The sequence below is a fragment of the Homo sapiens genome, chromosome 1 (assembly GCF_000001405.40).
Source record: "Homo sapiens chromosome 1, GRCh38.p14 Primary Assembly".
In the NCBI taxonomy this organism is placed as follows: Eukaryota; Metazoa; Chordata; class Mammalia; order Primates; family Hominidae; genus Homo; species Homo sapiens.
In genome coordinates, this window is record NC_000001.11 from 11080032 (window position 1) to 11098462 (window position 18431).

The 18431-nt window shown below is 43.4% G+C and overlaps 1 protein-coding gene across 5 annotated transcripts in view, besides 1 other annotated feature; it reads right to left on the bottom strand.

The window, feature by feature from the left end:
- Positions 1 to 18431, bottom strand: part of EXOSC10 (exosome component 10) — a 33252-nt gene that overhangs the window by 13414 nt on the left and 1407 nt on the right. For 3 of the 5 annotated variants that reach the window (NM_002685.4, NM_001001998.3, XM_005263475.3), the window contains exons 2-13: positions 17989 to 18125; positions 15727 to 15850; positions 11462 to 11566; positions 10983 to 11148; positions 10523 to 10637; positions 8092 to 8167; positions 7769 to 7879; positions 7417 to 7560; positions 2657 to 2847; positions 1051 to 1207; positions 733 to 881; positions 468 to 518 (exon numbers count right to left, since the gene is read on the bottom strand). In NM_002685.4, coding sequence (NP_002676.1) covers positions 468 to 518; positions 733 to 881; positions 1051 to 1207; positions 2657 to 2847; positions 7417 to 7560; positions 7769 to 7879; positions 8092 to 8167; positions 10523 to 10637; positions 10983 to 11148; positions 11462 to 11566; positions 15727 to 15850; positions 17989 to 18125 — 1526 coding nt within the window. Of the gene's footprint in view, positions 1 to 467; positions 519 to 732; positions 882 to 1050; positions 1208 to 2502; positions 2628 to 2656; positions 2848 to 7416; positions 7561 to 7768; positions 7880 to 8091; positions 8168 to 10522; positions 10638 to 10982; positions 11149 to 11461; positions 11567 to 15726; positions 15851 to 17988; positions 18126 to 18431 lie in introns of those variants that run through there. The other 2 variants (XM_047422661.1, XM_047422663.1) reach the window with 2 other exon arrangements.
- Positions 12262 to 12442: a silencer, noted in NCBI's record as "fragment chr1:11152350-11152530 (GRCh37/hg19 assembly coordinates)". NCBI's record gives its function as "represses an EF-1alpha promoter that drives an FKBP-Casp9 reporter gene in an ReSE screen in both phorbol 12-myristate 13-acetate-treated (for megakaryocytic differentiation) and untreated K562 erythroleukemia cells {active_cell/tissue: K562 | K562(+PMA)}" and the evidence as "EXISTENCE:reporter gene assay evidence [ECO:0000049][PMID:32094911]".

Consider the following 18431-nt stretch of genomic DNA (forward strand, 5'->3'; position numbering starts at 1 on the left):
AGCCTGACTCCCACAATCAGGGAGAGCTGAAAGTAAGTGCCATAGCACTGTGGATTCTCAATTCCGCAGGGGGCAACCAACGGGCTGTGGATTTTCATTCTTGCTTATACTTCAATCAAGATCACAAAACGTTTAAGATCATGAGCTGCTTTAATTTGGAAGAAAGTACAGATGACAGAATCTGGGACATTTTCTTCCCTTGCAAGTAGATGCTATAAGGCTCAGAGACTTAAAATAAACTCAAACTAAGGCATAATCATTGAAATGATTCCAGTTCAGAAGTTTTAGTGCTTAAATGGCAGCCTGAGGGCAGAAATTCTATATTCCTTCAACTTGCTACCTTCCAAGCTTGGAGCATTAATCTCTGAGTAAGCAGCCTTGGGTAATAGCAACCAGAAAAGCTTGATTTTGAAGAACATCAGATCTACTGAGAAAGTCAGAACATATTAATCAGATTTGAAACTCACTTAGGCAGTTCTTCAGCTATTTTCAGCATCATGTGGTTTGGCAGTACATATCTGGAAAAAAAAAAACACACACACACACACACACACACACACACACACACACACACGGTGGGGACACATTACATTCAGCCAGTAAGTTCCATTAGATGCTGTCACATAGGGGAAATAACCAGCTTTCATAGCAAAAGAAAAAAGCCCATTATTTACTTGTTATTAGATCTCCTCAGTCTGGAAACAAGTATTAAAAGAACCTCTAATCCCTTACCCGTAACTTTCATCTTCCCTGCGAGCTGTTTTATCCCTCCAGGCAAACAGCAGCTGAAAGGCTGTCAACTGCTGTGTGTTAAGGTGCTTCTTCTGCTTCCTATAGAGTTCAAGGTAGGACTCATCCGTGAAGATAGGTTTGATGAATTTCTACAAAGTATTAGAGAACATTCAAAATCAACGGGAATCAAAATTGTGCCCTGGGCTCTGGAAAATGTTTGGCTCTTTTCATGAATGTAAGGAGCAAACCTAAGAACTAGAACCTGGCCAGACACAGAGCCCAAGTGTCGCGGTCTGTGTGACTGCGGCTGAGGTGTACCTTGAGGCAGATGTCCCTGCTCCGTTGCCACACCACCTGCAGCTGCACCGGCTGCCCGTTGCCGCGCTCCCACATCTCCAGCCTCATTTTGTCATAGATATATAGCAGGTAATGGGTGTCATCCCGGGCGTAGCTGAGCATCTCCTCGGGCAGAGGGCTGGAATTGCAGAGGACAATGTTTTACTGATTGCCCCCAAGGACAGCAATTCAATTTGTCTATTCCTTGGGTGCTGGGACTTCCTTAGACCCTTCCAATATGAAAGATCCTTTCATAGTCAATACTGCAGTTATGCCAACATTTCCTGCATTTTAACATGATAAACCATTATTTTAACAGCTGGGTAGAATTGGAGGCAGGGTAATGCGGTGGTTAAAATAAGGGCACTGTCAGCTACTCTGGACACACACAAGAGGCAGTAGAAAAGGGGCCACTGGTGTCCTGAGTTCAAATCTCAGCTCCAGATGTCTGTCCTTGGACAAGTTCCTTAACCTCTTTGGGCTGACCCACCTAACTTGTGAAATGGGAACCAGGTACTTCATAGGCTGTTGTGAGGACTACACAGGACCACATCCTTGAAGCACTTAGCCCAGAGCTTGGCACAGGGTAAGGGCTCCGTAACAGGGAGTGGTTTTTAGATTTTATCAATTTTTATCTTTTATTTGGATTTTATCAGTCCAAATGTAATTTTACTTTTATATTTAGAAATTCTGGCATTCTGGGCCAGGCGCGGTGGCTCACGCCTGTAATCCCAGCACTTTGGGAGGCGGAGGCGGGAGGATCACCTGAGGTCAGGAGTTTGAGACCAGTCTGACCAACATGGAGAAACCTCGTCTCTACTGGAAATACAAAATTAGCTGGGCGTGGTGGTGCACGCCTGTAATCCTAGCTACTCAGGAGGCTGAGGCAGGAGAATTGCTTGAACCCGGGAGGCAGAGGTTGTGGTGAGCCGAGATCGCGCCATTGCACTCCAGCCTGGGCAACAGTGAAACTGCATCTCAAAAAAAAAAAAAGAAAAAAAGAAATTCTGGCATTCTGGCATGTGGAATTCCTGAAAAAGCTCAGTAGCACCTTCCTATGACAGGTGCAACCTCGGAGAGGTAGCAACCAAGCGGAAAACGACCAAGCTGAGCAAGGCCTGCAGGAAGTGGGGCAAAACTGCTACCTTATGCCACAAAAAAACGCTCAGTGTAAAGCTAAACAACAGTGTCCCTTAGAATTCTTTCCCACCTATGGAAGGTCATCTTGCACACACACACACACACACAATCATCCCTACAGAAGATCTTACACACACACAAAATCATCTGGTAGAAAGATCCCAGTTTCAAACAAAAGACCAGCATGGGCAAATACTGGTGCGGCACCTCTTTTTCAACCACTATTTCCATGGAACACAGTGTAACTGCATCAGCCCATCATAAAGTCCACCTTAGCATTAAAAAATTTCCTACCACTTTTACGCTGCTGAAGATGCCTGGCGAAAAGCCTGATGCCATTCATCTCAATGAGCGTGGTAGGGCTCAAACCCAGGTCTCTCTGGACGACAGGTTAATGAATAATCACTTTCTTCTGCCACCCACATTTCCTCAGTAAGAGCAAACTGACCGTATTCTCCAATCAGCCAGCTGATATTGCTTGTTTGAGTCCACGTTGCAGTAGAGTTTCAGGAGATGATCGAGTGAGTGCCTGCCCAGGTTAAGAAGGCGTGCTGCCTGATGAGTATCAAACATGTTTACTACATACAACCCAAAGTCTTTCTGTAGCCATTCTATGTCTGAATCAGCACCATGAAAGACCTGAAAACAGAACCAAAGTCATGCAGTACACTGGTAGCAGGCCACTCATGCTCAGAAATTAACTCTGCCTCTAGTTTATTAGAACACTGAAATTAGAAGGTAGTCTCCGCTGTCCCATCTGTAGTGCAGTGGTGTGATCTTGGCTCACTGCAACTTCCGCCTCCCATGCTCCAGCAATCCTCCCACCTCAGCCTCCCAAGTAGTTGGGACTACAGCGTGCCACCACGCCCAGCTAAACTTTGGTATTTTTTGTAGAGACGGGGTTTCACTATGTTCCCCAGGCTGGTCTCAATCTCCTGGGCTCAAGTGATCCTCCTGCCTCAGCTCCCCAAAATGCTGGGATTACAGGCCTGAGCCACCTCACCTGGCTGAAGCCAATGTTCTAATCAAGATTAGATATATGCAGCTGGGCATGGTGGATCACGCCTGTAATCCCAGCACTTTGGGCCAAGGTGGGTGGATTGCTTGAGGTCAGGAGTTTGAGACCAGCCTGACCAACATGGCAAAACCCTGTCTCTACTAAAAATACAAAAATTAGCCGGGTGTGGTGGCGCATGCCTTTAACCCCAGCTACTTGGGAGGCCGAGGCAGGAGAATTGCTTGAACCCGAGAGGCAGAGGTTGCAGTGAGCCGAGATCGTACCATTGTACTCCAGCCTGGGCAACAAGAGCAAAACTCCGTCTCAAAAAAAAAAAAAAAAAAAAAAATTAGATATATGCAGGGTTTTTTTTAAGTTAAAAAAATTTTTTTTTAAATTTATTATTATACTTTAAGTTTTAGGGTACATGTGCACAATGTGCAGGTTAGTTACATATGTATACATGTGCCATGCTGGTGCGCTGCACCCACTAACTCATCATCTAGCATTAGGTATATCTCCCAATGCTATCCCTCCCCCCTTTCCCCACCCCACAACAGTCCCCAGAGTGTGATGTTCCCCTTCCTTTGTCCATGTGTTCTCATTGTTCAATTCCCACCTATGAGTGAGAATATGCAGTGTTTGGTTTTTTGTTCTTGCGATAGTTTACTGAGAATGATGATTTCCAATTTCATCCATGTCCCTACAAAGGACATGAACTCATCCTTTTTTATGGCTGCGTAGTATTCCATGGTGTATATGTGACACATTTTCTTAATCCAGTCTATCATTGTTGGACATTTGGGTTGGTTCCAAGTCTTTACTATTGTGAATAGTGCCGCAATAAACATATGTGTGCATGTGTCTTTATAGCAGCATGATTTATAGCCCTTTGGGTATATACCAAGTAATGGGATAGCTGGGTCAAATGGTATTTCTAGTTCTAGATCCCTGAGGAATTGCCACACTGACTTCCACAATGGTTGAACTAGTTTACAGTCCCACCAACAGTGTAAAAGTGTTCCTATTTCTCCACATCTTCTCCAGCACCTGTTGTTTCCTGACTTTTTAATGATTGCCATTCTAACTGGTGTGAGATGATATCTCACTGTGGTTTCGATTTGCATTTCTCTGATGGCCAGTGATGGTGAGCATTTCTTCATGTGTTTTTTGGCTGCATAAATGTCTTCTTTTGAGAAGTGTCTGTTCATGTCCTTCACCCACTTTTTGATGGGGTTATTTTTTTCTTGTAAATTTGTTTGAGTTCATTGTAGATTCTGCAAATTAGCCCTTTGTCAGATGAGTAGGTTGCGAAGATTTTCTCCCATTTTGTGGGTTGCCTGTTCACTCTGATGGTAGTTTCTTTTGCTGTGCAGAAGCTCTTTAGTTTAATTAGATCCCATTGGTCAATTCTGGCTTTTGTTGCCATTGCTTTTGGTGTCTTAGACATGAAGTCCTTGCCCATGCCTATGTCCTGAATGGTATTGCCTAGGTTTCCTTCTAGGGTTTTTATGGTTTTAGGTCTAACGTTGTTAAGTCTTTAATCCATCTTGAATTGATTTTTGTATAAGGTGTAAGGAAGGGATCCAGTTTCAGCTTTCTACATATGGCTAGCCAGTTTTCCCAGCACCATTTATTAAATAGGGAATCCTTTCCCCATTGCTTGTTTTTTGTCAGGTTTGTCAAAGATCAGATAGTTGTAGATATATGGCGTTATTTCTGAGGGCTCTGTTCTGTTCTATTGATCTATATCTCTGTTTTGGTACCAGTACCATGCTGTTTTGGTTACTGTAGCCTTGTAGTATAGTTTGAAGTCAGGTAGTGTGATGCCTCCAGCTTTGTTCTTTTGGCTTAGGATTGACTTGGCGATGCAGGCTCTTTTTTGGTTCCATATGAACTTTAAACTAGTTTTTTCCAATTCTGTGAAGAAAGTCATTGGTAGCTTGATGGGGATGGCATTGAATCTACAAATTACCTTGGACAGTATGGCCATTTTCACGATATTGATTCTTCCTACCCATGAGCATGGAATGTTCTTCCATTTGTTTGTATCCTCTTTTATTTCATTGAGCAGTGGTTTGTAGTTCTCCTTGAAGAGGTCCTTCACGTCCCTTGTAAGGTGGATTCCTAGGTATTTCATTCTCTTTGAAGCAATTGTGAATGGGAGTTCACTCATGATTTGGCTCTCTGTTATTGGTGTATAAGAATGCTTGTGATTTTTGAATATTGATTTTGTATCCTGAGACTTTGCTGAAGTTGCTTATCAGCTTAAGGAGATTTTGGGCTGAGACAATGGGGTTTTCTAGATATACAATCATGTCATCTGCAAACAGGGACAATTTGACTTCCTCTTTGCCTAATTGAATACCCTTTATTTCCTTCTCCTGCCTGATTGCCCTGGCCAGAACTTCCAACACTATGTTGAATAGGAGTGGTGAGAGAGGGCCTCCCTGTCTTGTGCCAGTTTTCAAAGGGAATGCTTCCAGTTTTTGCCCATTCAGTATGATATTGGCTGTGGGTTTGTCATAGATAGCTCTTATTATTTTGAGATACGTCCCATCAATACCTAATTTATTGAGAGTTTTTAGCATGAAGCGTTGTTGAATTTTGTCAAAGGCCTTTTCTGCATCTATTGAGATAATCACGTGGTTTTTGTCTTTGGTTCTGTTTATACGCTGCATTACATTTATTGATTTGCGTATGTTGAACCAGCCTTGCATCCCAGGGATGAAGCCCACTTGATCATGGTGGATAAGCTTTTTGATGTGCTGCTGGATTCGGTTTGCCAGTATTTTATTGAGGATTTTTGCATCAATGTTCATCAAGGATATTGGTCTAAAATTCTCTTTTTTGGTTGTGTCTCTGCCCGGCTTTGGTATCAGGATGATGCTGGCCTCATAAAATGAGTTAGGGAGGATTCCCTCTTTTTCTATTGATTGGAATAGTTTCAGAAGGAATGGTACCAGTTCCTCCTTGTACCTCTGGTAGAATTCGGCTGTGAATCCATCTGGTCCTAGACTCTTTTTGGTTGGTAAGCTATTGATTATTGCCACAATTTCAGCTCCTGTTATTGGTCTATTCAGAGATTCAATTTCTTTCTGGTTTAGTCTTGGAAGAGTGTATGTGTCGAGGAATTTATCCATTTCTTCTAGATTTTCTAGTTTATTTGCGTAGAGGTGTTTGTAGTAATCTCTGATGGTAGTTTGTATTTCTGTGGGATCAGTGGTGATATCCCCTTTATCATTTTTTATTGCGTCTATTTGATTCTTCTATTTTTCTTTATTAGTCTTGCTAGCGGTCTATCAATTCCAAAATTGACCACATAGTTGGAAGTAAAGCTCTCCTCAGCAGATGTAAAATAACAGAAATTATAACAAACTATCTCTCAGACCACAGTGCAATCAAACTAGAACTCAGGATTAAGAAACTCACTCAAAACCGCTCAACTACATGGAAACTGAACAACCTGCTCCTGAATGACTACTGGGTACATAACGAAATGAAGGCAGAAATAAAGATGTTCTTTGAAACCAGCGAGAACAAAGACACAACATACCAGAATCTCTGGGACACATTCAAAGCAGTGCGTAGAGGGAAATTTATAGCACTAAATGCCCATAATAGAAAGCAGGAAAGATCCAAAACTGACACCCTAACATCACAATTAAAAGAACTAGAAAAGCAAGAGCAAACACATTCAAAAGCTAGCAGAAGGCAAGAAATAACTAAAATCAGAGCAGAACTGAAGGAAATAGAGACACAAAAAACCCTTCAAAAAATTAATGAATCCAGGAGCTGGTTTTTTGAAAGGATATATGCAGTTTTAAATGTTTCTTTTGTCTTCAGTCACAGCTTTCTACACTCCTGATTCCATACGCTTGAAGTCTGAAACTGTTATCAACCAATGAGACACATGAAAGCAGCTCTAGTAGCTTCAGTACAGTCATCAAGTCCAAACAATCTTGATGGCTGGGGCTCACTGCAGTAGTCATTAAAATGATTTAACGTTTTTCTGGGCGGTAACAAGCTAAGTCTTAGCTGTTCTAACAGGGATTTAGAAACAAAAGCCATTTAGCACTGTACCCTAGTTAGGAAATGACATGATTCCTCCCAACTTGACTGGTCTAGGTTGAAATAATGAAATAGTACACTGAAAAGCACTAAAAATCTTGTATGAGCTCACATGCATGAGTTACAAAAGGCTGGCTGACCTTAACGATGGCTGGGTCTGTGAGGCTCTCATTGAGAATGTACATGTCACTTCGAAGCTCGAGGGTGTCAATGATGAAGTCTTCCGTCCGAGTAGAAATTTGCATCAGGCAGGTCAGTCCCAGGAAGCTCCTGTAAGAGTGGTGCTAAACCCCACAGAAGGAGGGGAGAAGAGGAAAAACAAAGATTATATTAGACTTTCCTTTACTGATTTTGAAAAGTCAGCTACAAAGCTAAGTTATATGATTAATTTTTTACCAAAAAAAATTACAATTAGTATTAATTTTATACTTCTCCAACAGGTGAACTCACAGAAAAATGTAAAAATTTTACCCAGGGTCATTTATAAGATACCTCCAAGTCAACTGCAAATTCCTGACAATTCAAGAGCTTTTCGTTGAGTTCCACGAGTTCATCCAGGGAGGATATGAAATGGCATGGTGTCTCTTCTATAGGTCTGTATAACTGGATCAAGAGAATAGTAAGAAAAAGGGAGGAATATAGAAATCATCCCCCAGTAAAGTACAAAGTGAACTACAAGTTTGAGAAATGACCCAAAACTGTAACTTTCTCCCTTAAAGATCTTCAAGGAAAGTCAAAATTGCATCAATGAATCTACTTATTTGATTCCTCTTGGGCTACTACACGGCACCTTTAAACTAAGGCTGGGTACTAACCTGGGGTTGTGGCTTTTGAAGCACTGCATCTGCTGGGGTAAAGTGATTTAGTTCATATTGATAAGGATGTGCAAACCTGAGTAAATAAAACAAAAAGAGAAATCATTCTGATTAATTCCATGATTCAAGGGAAAAATAATGCCTTTTATCCAATCTGTAAAAACAAATGAGAAAAGACCACTGTGAAAATATCTTCCCTTTACAAAGAGCTTATTTCAGTAATTCAACTACAAATCATAAATCAGATGATATTTGCTCACTCTTAAAATATGATAATTAAGTCTATTAATTTCTTTAGAGAGCTGGAGACCCAAGCAGCTTTATAAAGATTTGAGTACTTATTTGCAAAGTACTGTATAGTTGATGTTGTGGATAATACCAAAATGAGAAATATGTCATTCTTGCAGTTTGAAATAACAAATCTGTAAAGTAAGGATGAAGCAAATACTGCAGTTGGCCAAGAGCTTAATGTTATATTTTTTCTGATCCTAAGAAATCTGTATAAAAATCCTCAACTTGTGGTGTGTTCCTCGAGGATCACGGTAGCCCAGGAGGGCAGGGCTGCCTTTCATGGCCTTTGTTTCTCCAGCACTTAGCTTGTGGCCTCACATTGCAGAGCTGGGGCTAAAGGCATGAATGCCCAGACAGACTCTGGCTCTATGTGAGGAAAAGGCCAATACTAACCAAATTTTTATCACCTTTTTGCATTATATTAAAGGCAAAGTCCATTTGTCTATTTTAAGTGAAGTTTTTCCAAGATGCTTATATTGCCAGTAAAAAATGCCTTTTCTTTACTAAATTCATAAATGAGCCTTGGGCTGAGCACGGTGGCACATGCTTGTAATCCCAGAACTCTGGAAAGTCGAGGCAGGAGGACTGCTTGAGGCCAGGAGTTTCAGGCAGCCTGGACAACACAGAAAGACCCTGTGTTTACAAAAATAAAAACTAAAATTAAAAAACAAGCCAGGTACAGTGATGTGTGCCTGTAGTCCCAGCTACTAGGGAGGCTGAGGCAGGGGGATTGCTTGAGCCCCAGGGTTCAAGGCTACAGTGAGCTATGATTGCACTACGGCACCCAGCCTGGGTGACAGAGCAAAACTAAAAAAAAAAAAAAAAAAAAAAGTGAGCCTTACCTACTATTTGAATCCTAATAAGAAAGGCAGAGCAGTATAGTATGGAGGAAAGACAAATTTAAGAAAACATGGGGCTGGGTGCGGTGGCTCGGGCCTGTAATCCCAGCACTTTGGGAGGCCAAGGAGGGTGGATCAACTGAAGTCAGGAGTTCGAGACCAGCCTGACCAACATGATGAAACCCTGTCTCTACTAAAAAAAAAAAAGATACAAAATTAGCCAGGTGTGGTGGCACATGCCTATAATAATCCCAGCTACTTGGGAGGCTGAGGCAGGAGAATCATTTGAACTCAGGAGGCAGAGGCTGCAGTCAGCTGAGATCGCGCCATTGTACTCCAGCCTGAGCAACAAGAGCGAAACTCCGTCCCAAAAAAAAAAAAAAAGAAAGAAAGAAAGAAAGAAAGAAAACATGGGCCAGCTCTGGCCAGGCACAGTGGTTCATGCCTGTAATCCCAACCCCCAACCCTTTGGGAGGGCAGGTTGGGAGGATGGCTGAGGTCAGAAATTCAAGACCAGACTGGGCATACAGAAAATACAAAAATTAGCTGTGCATGATGGCTCATGCCTGTGGTCACAGCTACTTGGGAGGCAGAGGCAGGAGGATCACTTGAGCCCAGGAGGTAAAGGCTGTAGTGAGCTGTGTTCATGCCACCACACTCCAGTCTGGGCGACAGAGCAAGACCCTGTCTCAAAGAAGTTCCAACTCTACAAGAAGCCTGCATCTCTAATTTTGCTTTTACATCTTTTTTTTTTTTTTTTTTTGAGATGGAGTCTTACTCTATCACTCAGGCTGGAGTGCAGTGACGCCATCTTGGCTCACTGCAACCTCCACCTCCCAAGTTCAAGCGATTCTCCTGCCTCAGCCTCCCGAGTAGCTGGGATTACAGGCACACACCACCTCGCCTGGCTAATTTTTGTATTTTCAGTAGAGATGGGGTTTCACCATGTTGGCCAGGCTGGTCTCGAACTCCTGACCTCAGGTGATCCACCGGTCTCAGCCTCCCAAAGTGCTGGGATTACAGGCGTAAGCCACCGCGCCCAGCCTTCGTGTTTTACATCTATAAAATGGGAATAAGAGCAACTGCTACTTCTCAGGACTGCAGTGAGGTTTACATGAGGCAATGCTGTGTAGGCCCTTTGTGAACACAAACAGCAGGTTTTATTGCTAAGGCCCAGGTTGGGGTGTAAGGAGGAAATCACTACTCCTCAGATTGTTTTCATGTATATACTCCACAAAAGTGAAAATGTGGCAAAAAGGTAAGTACTCACGGCAGAAAGTCAGACACAGGCCAACACTTACATGTCTTGCTCAACCTGCTGGGTTCTCTGCTGATGGATGAAATCAGCCAGTGCAGGGGGGACGTCCAAGTCCTCAGGACGATCCTGTGGGCGTTCCCGCCTTTCCTTAGAGAGAGCTGGGGATCCCAGCAGTGACAAAAACATCATTAGCACATTCATGTCTTTTCTAATTACACAGGGGTAAACTGGTTCCCTTTGTTTTTTGGCTTTTTTTTTTGAGACAGGGTCATGTTCTGTCCCCCAGGCTGAAGTGTGGTGGCACAAGCACAGCTCACTGTAGCCTTGACCTCCTGGGCTCAAGTGATCCTCCCACTTCAGCCTCTGGAATAGCTGAACTGGGCTCCCTTTGAACAAAGGAGGGTGGGCTCCCTTTGAACAAAGAAGAGAGACCTGTACACCCTTCCTGGTTTTTGCATCAAATAAAGTGAGACTCAAACACAGGCAAAGTATGCACTATTTACCTTGAGGGAGAGGTTTCTGAGCATTGGGTTTGATGAAGATTTTAGGAAGAAATGGTGTGTTGGAATTGTCAATCTTCTCTCGAAACTTGAGCTGAGGTCGGATGATATTTTTTGCATGAAGCAGCCGGAAAGTTTCAGATTTTGCTTTTTTGCCATATTCTGCTGCCTATGATCAATGAATACAAATACTTTATAACACAGCAACTTGATGAATTAGAAAAGTAAATTCCAATTTATGACTTCTGAGGAGACAAGAACATCGCAAAGGTCATTCATTCATTTAAGAATGTATGTGCATGTAGAGGTCTCCAGAAAGAGAAGAAGAGGGTGTAATTAGTTTGTGTATGTTTATGAGAACAAACTAAAGGAGACAGTGGCCAGTTCTCTAATAAATTAGAACAGAAATGCATGTTAGAATGAGCAAAATCTCTGTTATGAAGCTGACATCAAGAGCTCTAGTTAATCTGAAAAGCCCTCACCTTACGGTTCCAGCTGGACACTACCGTTTTGGGGACCTGCAAGCCGGCAGGGAGGACAGGCTGTTGATTCTTGTTTACACCTGAGGCTTCATCCAGTAAAATACCCTAAGAGTAGAAGAGGTACTGGTTAAGCATTTTTCCTTTTGAGGTTAGCAGAGTTAACTACCTAACATTTTATTTATTTAACATGGAGTATCACTCTGTCACCCAGGCTGGAGTGCAGTGGCGCAATCTTGCCTCACTGCAACTCTTTACAGTTCTGAATTGGGCTCACTGCAACCTCTGCCTCCAGGGTTCAAGCGATTCTCCTGCCTCAGCCTCCCGAGTAGCTGGGATTACAGGTGTGCACCACCATACCTGGCTAATTTTTTATTTTTAGTAGAGATGGGGTTTCACCCGGTTGGCCAGGCTGGTCTCGAACTCCTGACCTCAAGTGATCCGCCCACCTGAGCCTCCCAAAATGCTGGGATTATAGGCGTGAGCCACCGTGCCCCACCTAATTACCTAACATTTTAAAGAGATTGGTATTCAGAGACATTTGTGTAAGAAAATATACATATATAAGAACAGATCAATGTATGTATCAAAACATCAAGTTGTATGTAATAAATATATAGATGGTCCCCAATGTATGACAGTTTGACTTGTAAGTTTTTGAGTTTACAATGATGTGAAAGTGATTTGCATTTAGTAGAATCCATATTTCAAGTACACTTACCACCTGTTTTTCTTTTTTCTTTTTTGAGACAGAGTCTTGCTCTGTTGCCAGGCTGAAGTGTAATGGCGTGATCTCAGCTAATTGCAACCTGCCTCCCGGGTTCAAGCGATTCTCCTGCCTCAGCCTCCCAAGTAATTGGGACTACAGGCATGCACCACCACGCCCAGCTAATTTTTGTATTTTTAGTAGAGACAGGGTTTCACCAGGTTGGCCAGGATGGTCTCGATCTCTTGACCTTGTGAGCTGCCTGCCTCGACCTCCCAAAGTGCTAGGATTACAGGCGTAAGCCACTGTGCCTGGCCCTGTTTTTCTTTTTTTTTTTTTTGAGAGGGAGTCTCACTCTGTTGCCCAGGCTGGAGTGCAGTGGTCCAATCTCAGCTTGCTGCAGTCTTCGCCTCCTGGGTTCAAGCAATTCTCATGCCTCAGCCTCCCGAGTATCTGGGACTACAGGTGCACGCCACCACGCCCAGCTAATTTTTGTATTTTTTAGTAGAGATGGGGTTTCACTATGTTGACCAAGCTGGTCTTGAACTCTTGACCTCAAGTGATCCACCTGCCTTGGCCTCCCAAAATGCTAGGATTACAGGCATGAGCTACTGTGCCCGGCCACAACCTGTTTTTCACTTTCAGAAGTGTATTCAATGCTACTTGAATTACATGAGATGAATATTCAACACTGTATTATAAAAATAGGCTTTGTGTAAGATTTTGCCCAACTGTAGACTAATGGAAGTTTTCTGAGCACATTTAAAGCAGGTTCAGTTAAGCTATTTGGTAAGTGAGGTGTATTAAATGCATTTTTGACTTATAATATAGGTTTATTGAGACATAACCATGTAAATGATCGCCTATACAATTTTTGTCAATAAAAAAATAAAAATTTTACAAAGTTGATCAATAAAGGTCATTAGTATGTCATGCCAAGTAATTAATGCATTATTTGCTCAAAGGCAGGTAGGACAGTAATTACCCATGCCCAATACTCGATTGACTCTTTAAAGCTCTGAATTGGGCTGAAAATTCTAATATGATTTAACAGTGTAATGTGGCCACTAAAATAACTAAGAAGTCCCTGGACTGCATACATTAAATATAGAAGTACACTATTTAGAATGAAACTGCAGGGAGTCCTCATCTATTTTGCACTTTAAAGCAGACGTGAAATATCAGCTTGGGCACTACTAACAGAGGCACAACCAGGTGACACATAGGATTATGGCAGGACTTGAAATCACAATATACCAGAAACTGCTGAAAGATTTGTAGGCATTTAGACTAGGGAAGAGATGACTTCATGGGACAGGAGGGCATGATTTAAATATTTTCAGGACTGTCAGATGGTTGAAGTCAGATTTGTTTTCCATGATCTCTATGTATTTCTGTGGAAATAACGTTCTGCCATAGAATTAGGCATAAATAGATAGTAAGCAAGACAGAATAATACACATCTCCTTCCAATCCTGTGAGCTGGAGGGGGTTCAGTAGATTTTGAGTAACGGTACAAATAAACTAAATTTTGGTTGGGTGATATAAATGCCTCTTCTTTTGCAACACAAATAGAATTTGCAAATCTTGTCAGGCACAGTGGCTCATGCCTATAATCCTAGTGACTAAGGAGGCTGAGGTGGGGGGGGATTGTTTGAGGCCAGGATTGTTTGAGGAGTTCAAGACCAGCCTGGGCAACACAGCAAGACATTGTCTCTATAAAATAAAAAAAAATTCAGCCAGACGTGGTGGTGCACACCTGCAGTCCCAGCTACTTGGGAGGCTGTGGTGGGAGGATCGCTTGAGCCCAGGAGTTCAAGGTTGCAGTGAGTTATGGTTGCACCACTGCACTCCAGCCTGGGTGACAGAGCAAGACTTCAGTATCCAAAAAAATAAAAACAGAATTTGCAGATCTGGAAGACAGATTCAGAATAAGGCACTTTATTTATTTATTAATTTTAAATAAAGACAAGGTCTCACTATGTTGCCCAGGCTGGTTCTGGAACTCCTGAGCTCAAGCAATCCTCTTACCTCGGCCTCCTACAGTGCTAGGATTACAGGAGTGAGCCACTGACCCTGGCCAGAATAAGGCACTTTAACTTTTTTTTTTTTTTTTGAGATGGCGTCTCACTCTTGATGCCCAGGCTGGAGTGCAATGGTGCAATCTTGGCTCACTGCAACCTCTGCCTCACGAGTTCAAGCGATTCTCCTGCCTCAGCCTCCTGAGTAGCTGGGATTACAAGTGCCCACCACAACACTCAGCTAATTTTTTATATTTTTAGTAGAGACAGTGTTTTACCATGTCCGCCAGGCTGCTCCTGAACCCCTGACCTCAGGTAGGTGGATCCACCCACCTCGGCCTCCCAAAGTGCTGGGATTATAGGCGTGAACCACCATGCCAGGCCACCTTTTTTTTTTTTTTTTTGAGACAGAGTCTCACTGTCATCCAGGCTGGAGTGCAGTGGCATGATCGCGGCTCACTGCAACCTTGGCCTCCCGGGTTCAAGCGATTCTCCTGCCTCAGCCTCCTGAATAGCTGGAATGACAGGTGTGTGCCACCATGGCCTGGCTAGTTTTTATATTTTAGTAGAGACGGGGTTTCACCATGTTGGCCAGACTGGTCTTGAACTCCTGACCTCAGGTGATCACCCGCCTTGGCCTCCCAAAGTTCTGGGATTGTAGGTGTGAGCCACCACACCTGGCTGGAATAAGGCACTTTAAAAACAGGCTTTCAGGCTCAGTGAGGTGGCTCACGCCTGTAATCCCAGCACTTTGGGAGGCCAAGACAGGCAGATCACTTGAAGTCAGGAGTTTGAGACCAGCTTGGCTAATATGACAAAACGATGTCTCTACTAAAAATACAAAAATTAGCCAGGAATAGTGGTGGGTGCCTGTAATCCCAGCTACTCCGGAGGCTGAGGTAGGAGAATCGCTTGAACCTGGGAGGTGGAGGTTGCAGTGAACCAACATCGCCCCACTGCACTCCAGCCTGGGCAACCAAGCAAGACTCCGTCTCAAAAAAAAAAAAAAAAAAGAAGCTTCCATGGGGCAGTAATATTTTTAAGACAACTGTAATTATTTTTTAGAAAAAATATACCAACTATTAGAAGGGAATGTTATTATAAGAAATGTTAAGCTTATTTCCTTTTCATTTTCTAAGGTGCCTGGGTTGCTCTGTCTATCCGTATATTTTAATAATACAAAGCTCTTTGTTAGTTACCATAAGAGTAAGGGAAGGCCGGGTGTGGTGGCTCACGCCTGTAATCCCAGCATTCTGGGAGGCTGAGGCGGGCGGATCACAAGGTCAGGAGATCGAGACCATCCTGGCTAACACGGTGAAACCCCGTCTCTACTAAAAATACAAAAAAATTAGCCAGGTGTGGTGGCGGGCGCCTGTAGTCCCAGCTACTTGGGAGGCTGAGGCAGGAGAGTGTTGTGAACCCGGGAGGCAGAGCTTGCAGTGAGTCGAGATCGCATCACTGCACTCCAGCCTGGGCGACAGAGCGAGACTCCGTCTCAAAAACAAAACAAAACAAAAAAAAGAGTAAGGGAAAATACTCACCACTCTCTCCAGAATTACATCATTGGCATCAACTAGTAAATCAAACTTGTCTTCCAGCTCAGTCACTTTACTTCGATCCTTAATGTTGCTGCGACACCCATGGTACTGCATTACTCTGCTCATGCTAAGGAAAGGAAAACCAAGGTTAGCTTGTAGATTTTTATTTCACTTGTTTACATTCTGTGAGAGAGAATGTTCAAATGATGTGGCTCAGACTGTTCCCAACACATCTTTTTTTTTTTTTTTGAGACAGTCTTGCTCTGTTGCCCAGGCTGGAGTTCAGTGGCATGATCTTGGCTCTCTGCAACCTCAACCTCCCGGGTTCAAGCGATTCTCGTGTCTCAGCCTCCTGAGTAGCTGGGATTATAGGCACATGCCAACAGGTCTGGTTAATTTTTGTATTTTTAGTAAAGATGAGGTTTTGCCATGTTGGCCAGGCTGCTCTCGAACTCCTGACCCGAAGTGATCTGCCTGCCTCCGACTCCCGGATTCAAGCGATTCTCATGCCTCAGCCTCCTGAGTAGCTGGGATTATGGGCACACGCCACCAGGTCTGGCTAATTTTTGTATTTTTAGTAAAGATGACGTTTCACCACGTTGGCCAGGCTGGTCTCGAACTCTTGACCTGAAGTGATCCACCTGCCTCGGCCTCCCAAAGTTCTGGGATTACAGGTGTGAGCCATGAGCCCAGCCTTTTTCTTTCTTTCTTTCTTTCTTTTTTTTTTTTTTTTTTTTAAAGAGACAGGGTCTTGCTCTGTTACCCAGGCTGGAATGCAGCAGTACAATCACAGCTCCCTGTAGCCTTGAACTCCTGGGCTCAAGTGATACTCCCACCTCAGCCTCCCAAGTAGCTGTGACTTGGGAGTGGTGCACCACCACTCCCAGCTACTTTAAAAATTTTTTGTAGGGATGGAGTCTCCCTACGTTGCCCAGGCTGGTCTTGAACTCCTGGGCTCAAGCGATCCTTCTGCCTTTGCCTCCCAAAGCACTAGGATTACAGGCATGAGCCGCCATGTCTGGCCCCTGATACTTTTTGATGAAACCAATAAAACTTGCACCCTAGCTGGGCGCAGTGGCTCACACCTGTAATCCTAGCACTTCAGGAGTGGTCACGACTTCGAGACCAGCCTGGCCAACATGGTGAAACCCCATCTCTACTAAAAATACAAAAAACTGGCTAGGCGCAGTGGCTTATACCTGTAATCCCAACACTATGGGAGGCTGAGGTGGGTGGATCACAAGGTCAGGAGTTCGAGACCAGCCTGGCCAACATGGTGAAACCTCCTCTACTAAAAATACAAAAATTAGCCGGGAATGGTCGTACATGCCTGTTATCCCAGCTACTGGGGAGGCTGAGGCACAAGAATCGCTTGATCTTGGGAGGTGGAGGTTGCTGCGAGCCGAGATCACGCCACTGCACTTCAGCCTGGGCGACAGAGCAAGACTCCGTACTCCCCCCCAACAAAAAAAAAAAAGCTGGTCGTGGTGGTGTACACCTATAATCCCAGCTACTCGGGAGGCTGAGGCAGGAGAATCGCTTGAACCTGGGAGGCGCAGGTTGCAGTGAGCCGAGATTGAGCCAATGCACTCCAGCCTGGGTGATGGAGCGAGACTCCATCTCAAAAAAAATAAAAATAAAAATAAAAATACCTGCTACTCTACAAGTTGTGGGAAAGAATCTTGGATCTGGCAAGGCGCGGTGGCTCACGCCTGTAATCCCAGCACTTTGGGAGGCCGAGGCAGGTGGATCACGAGGTCAGGAGATCGAGACCATCCTGGCTAACATGTTGAAACCCTGTCTCTACTAAAAATACAAAAAATTAGCTGGGCGTGTTGACGGGCACCTGTAGTCCCAGCTACTCAGGAGGCTGAGGCAGGAGAATAGCGTGAACCTGGGAGGCGGAGCTTGCAGTGAGCCGAGATCATGCCACCGCACTCCAGCCTGGGCAATAGAGCGAGACTCCGTCTCAAAAAAAAAAAAGAATCTTGGCTCTAAGTGTTCACGTCCCATTTAATTAAAAAAGATTTGTACAAAAGTCAATATATTTTTTCAGTACAAAAGTCAATACATTTTTTAAAGGCTAAACTAAAAATATACCAAGTAATATTTCCCTAATCAAAATCCATTGCTTCAATTTTCACATTTTATAGCTCTTCATACCACAGAAAATGTTTAAGGAAAAATAAATTTCAGGAAAAATTTATCTACTTCTTTGTTTTCATTTCTTTTCACTAACACAAGAAAACAAAGTACAGTACTTACCACTGAAGCAACCTGTCTCCCTGTGTTTCGCAAAATGCTTGGAAGCCAGGAAAACTTCGGTAAAAATCATACTCATCGCCAAACTGTGGTAGGCCCCCAGATGCCTTGGTGACTGCCACCACGGACCCAAGAGCAAACTGTCAAAAACAAGAAAAGATGGCATGTTTACACAGGGATCCCCATTCATTTGGTATGTCATTTTTTTGATCTATCGTATACAAGGTATCTACTCTTCATCCATCAAAAAAAGCACTCATTTAGTGCCAAACCCCAATCTAATCTAGGCCCTGAGAATACAATACTGAACAGGAAACCAAGTTTGGAGCTTATATTCTTGGGAGAGTTGAGAGACAGAATACATACGTATATAATCTGATTAATATTCACAAATACCTGGGGTTGAATCTTGACTCTGCTACGTATTAACTGAGATCTTGGACAAG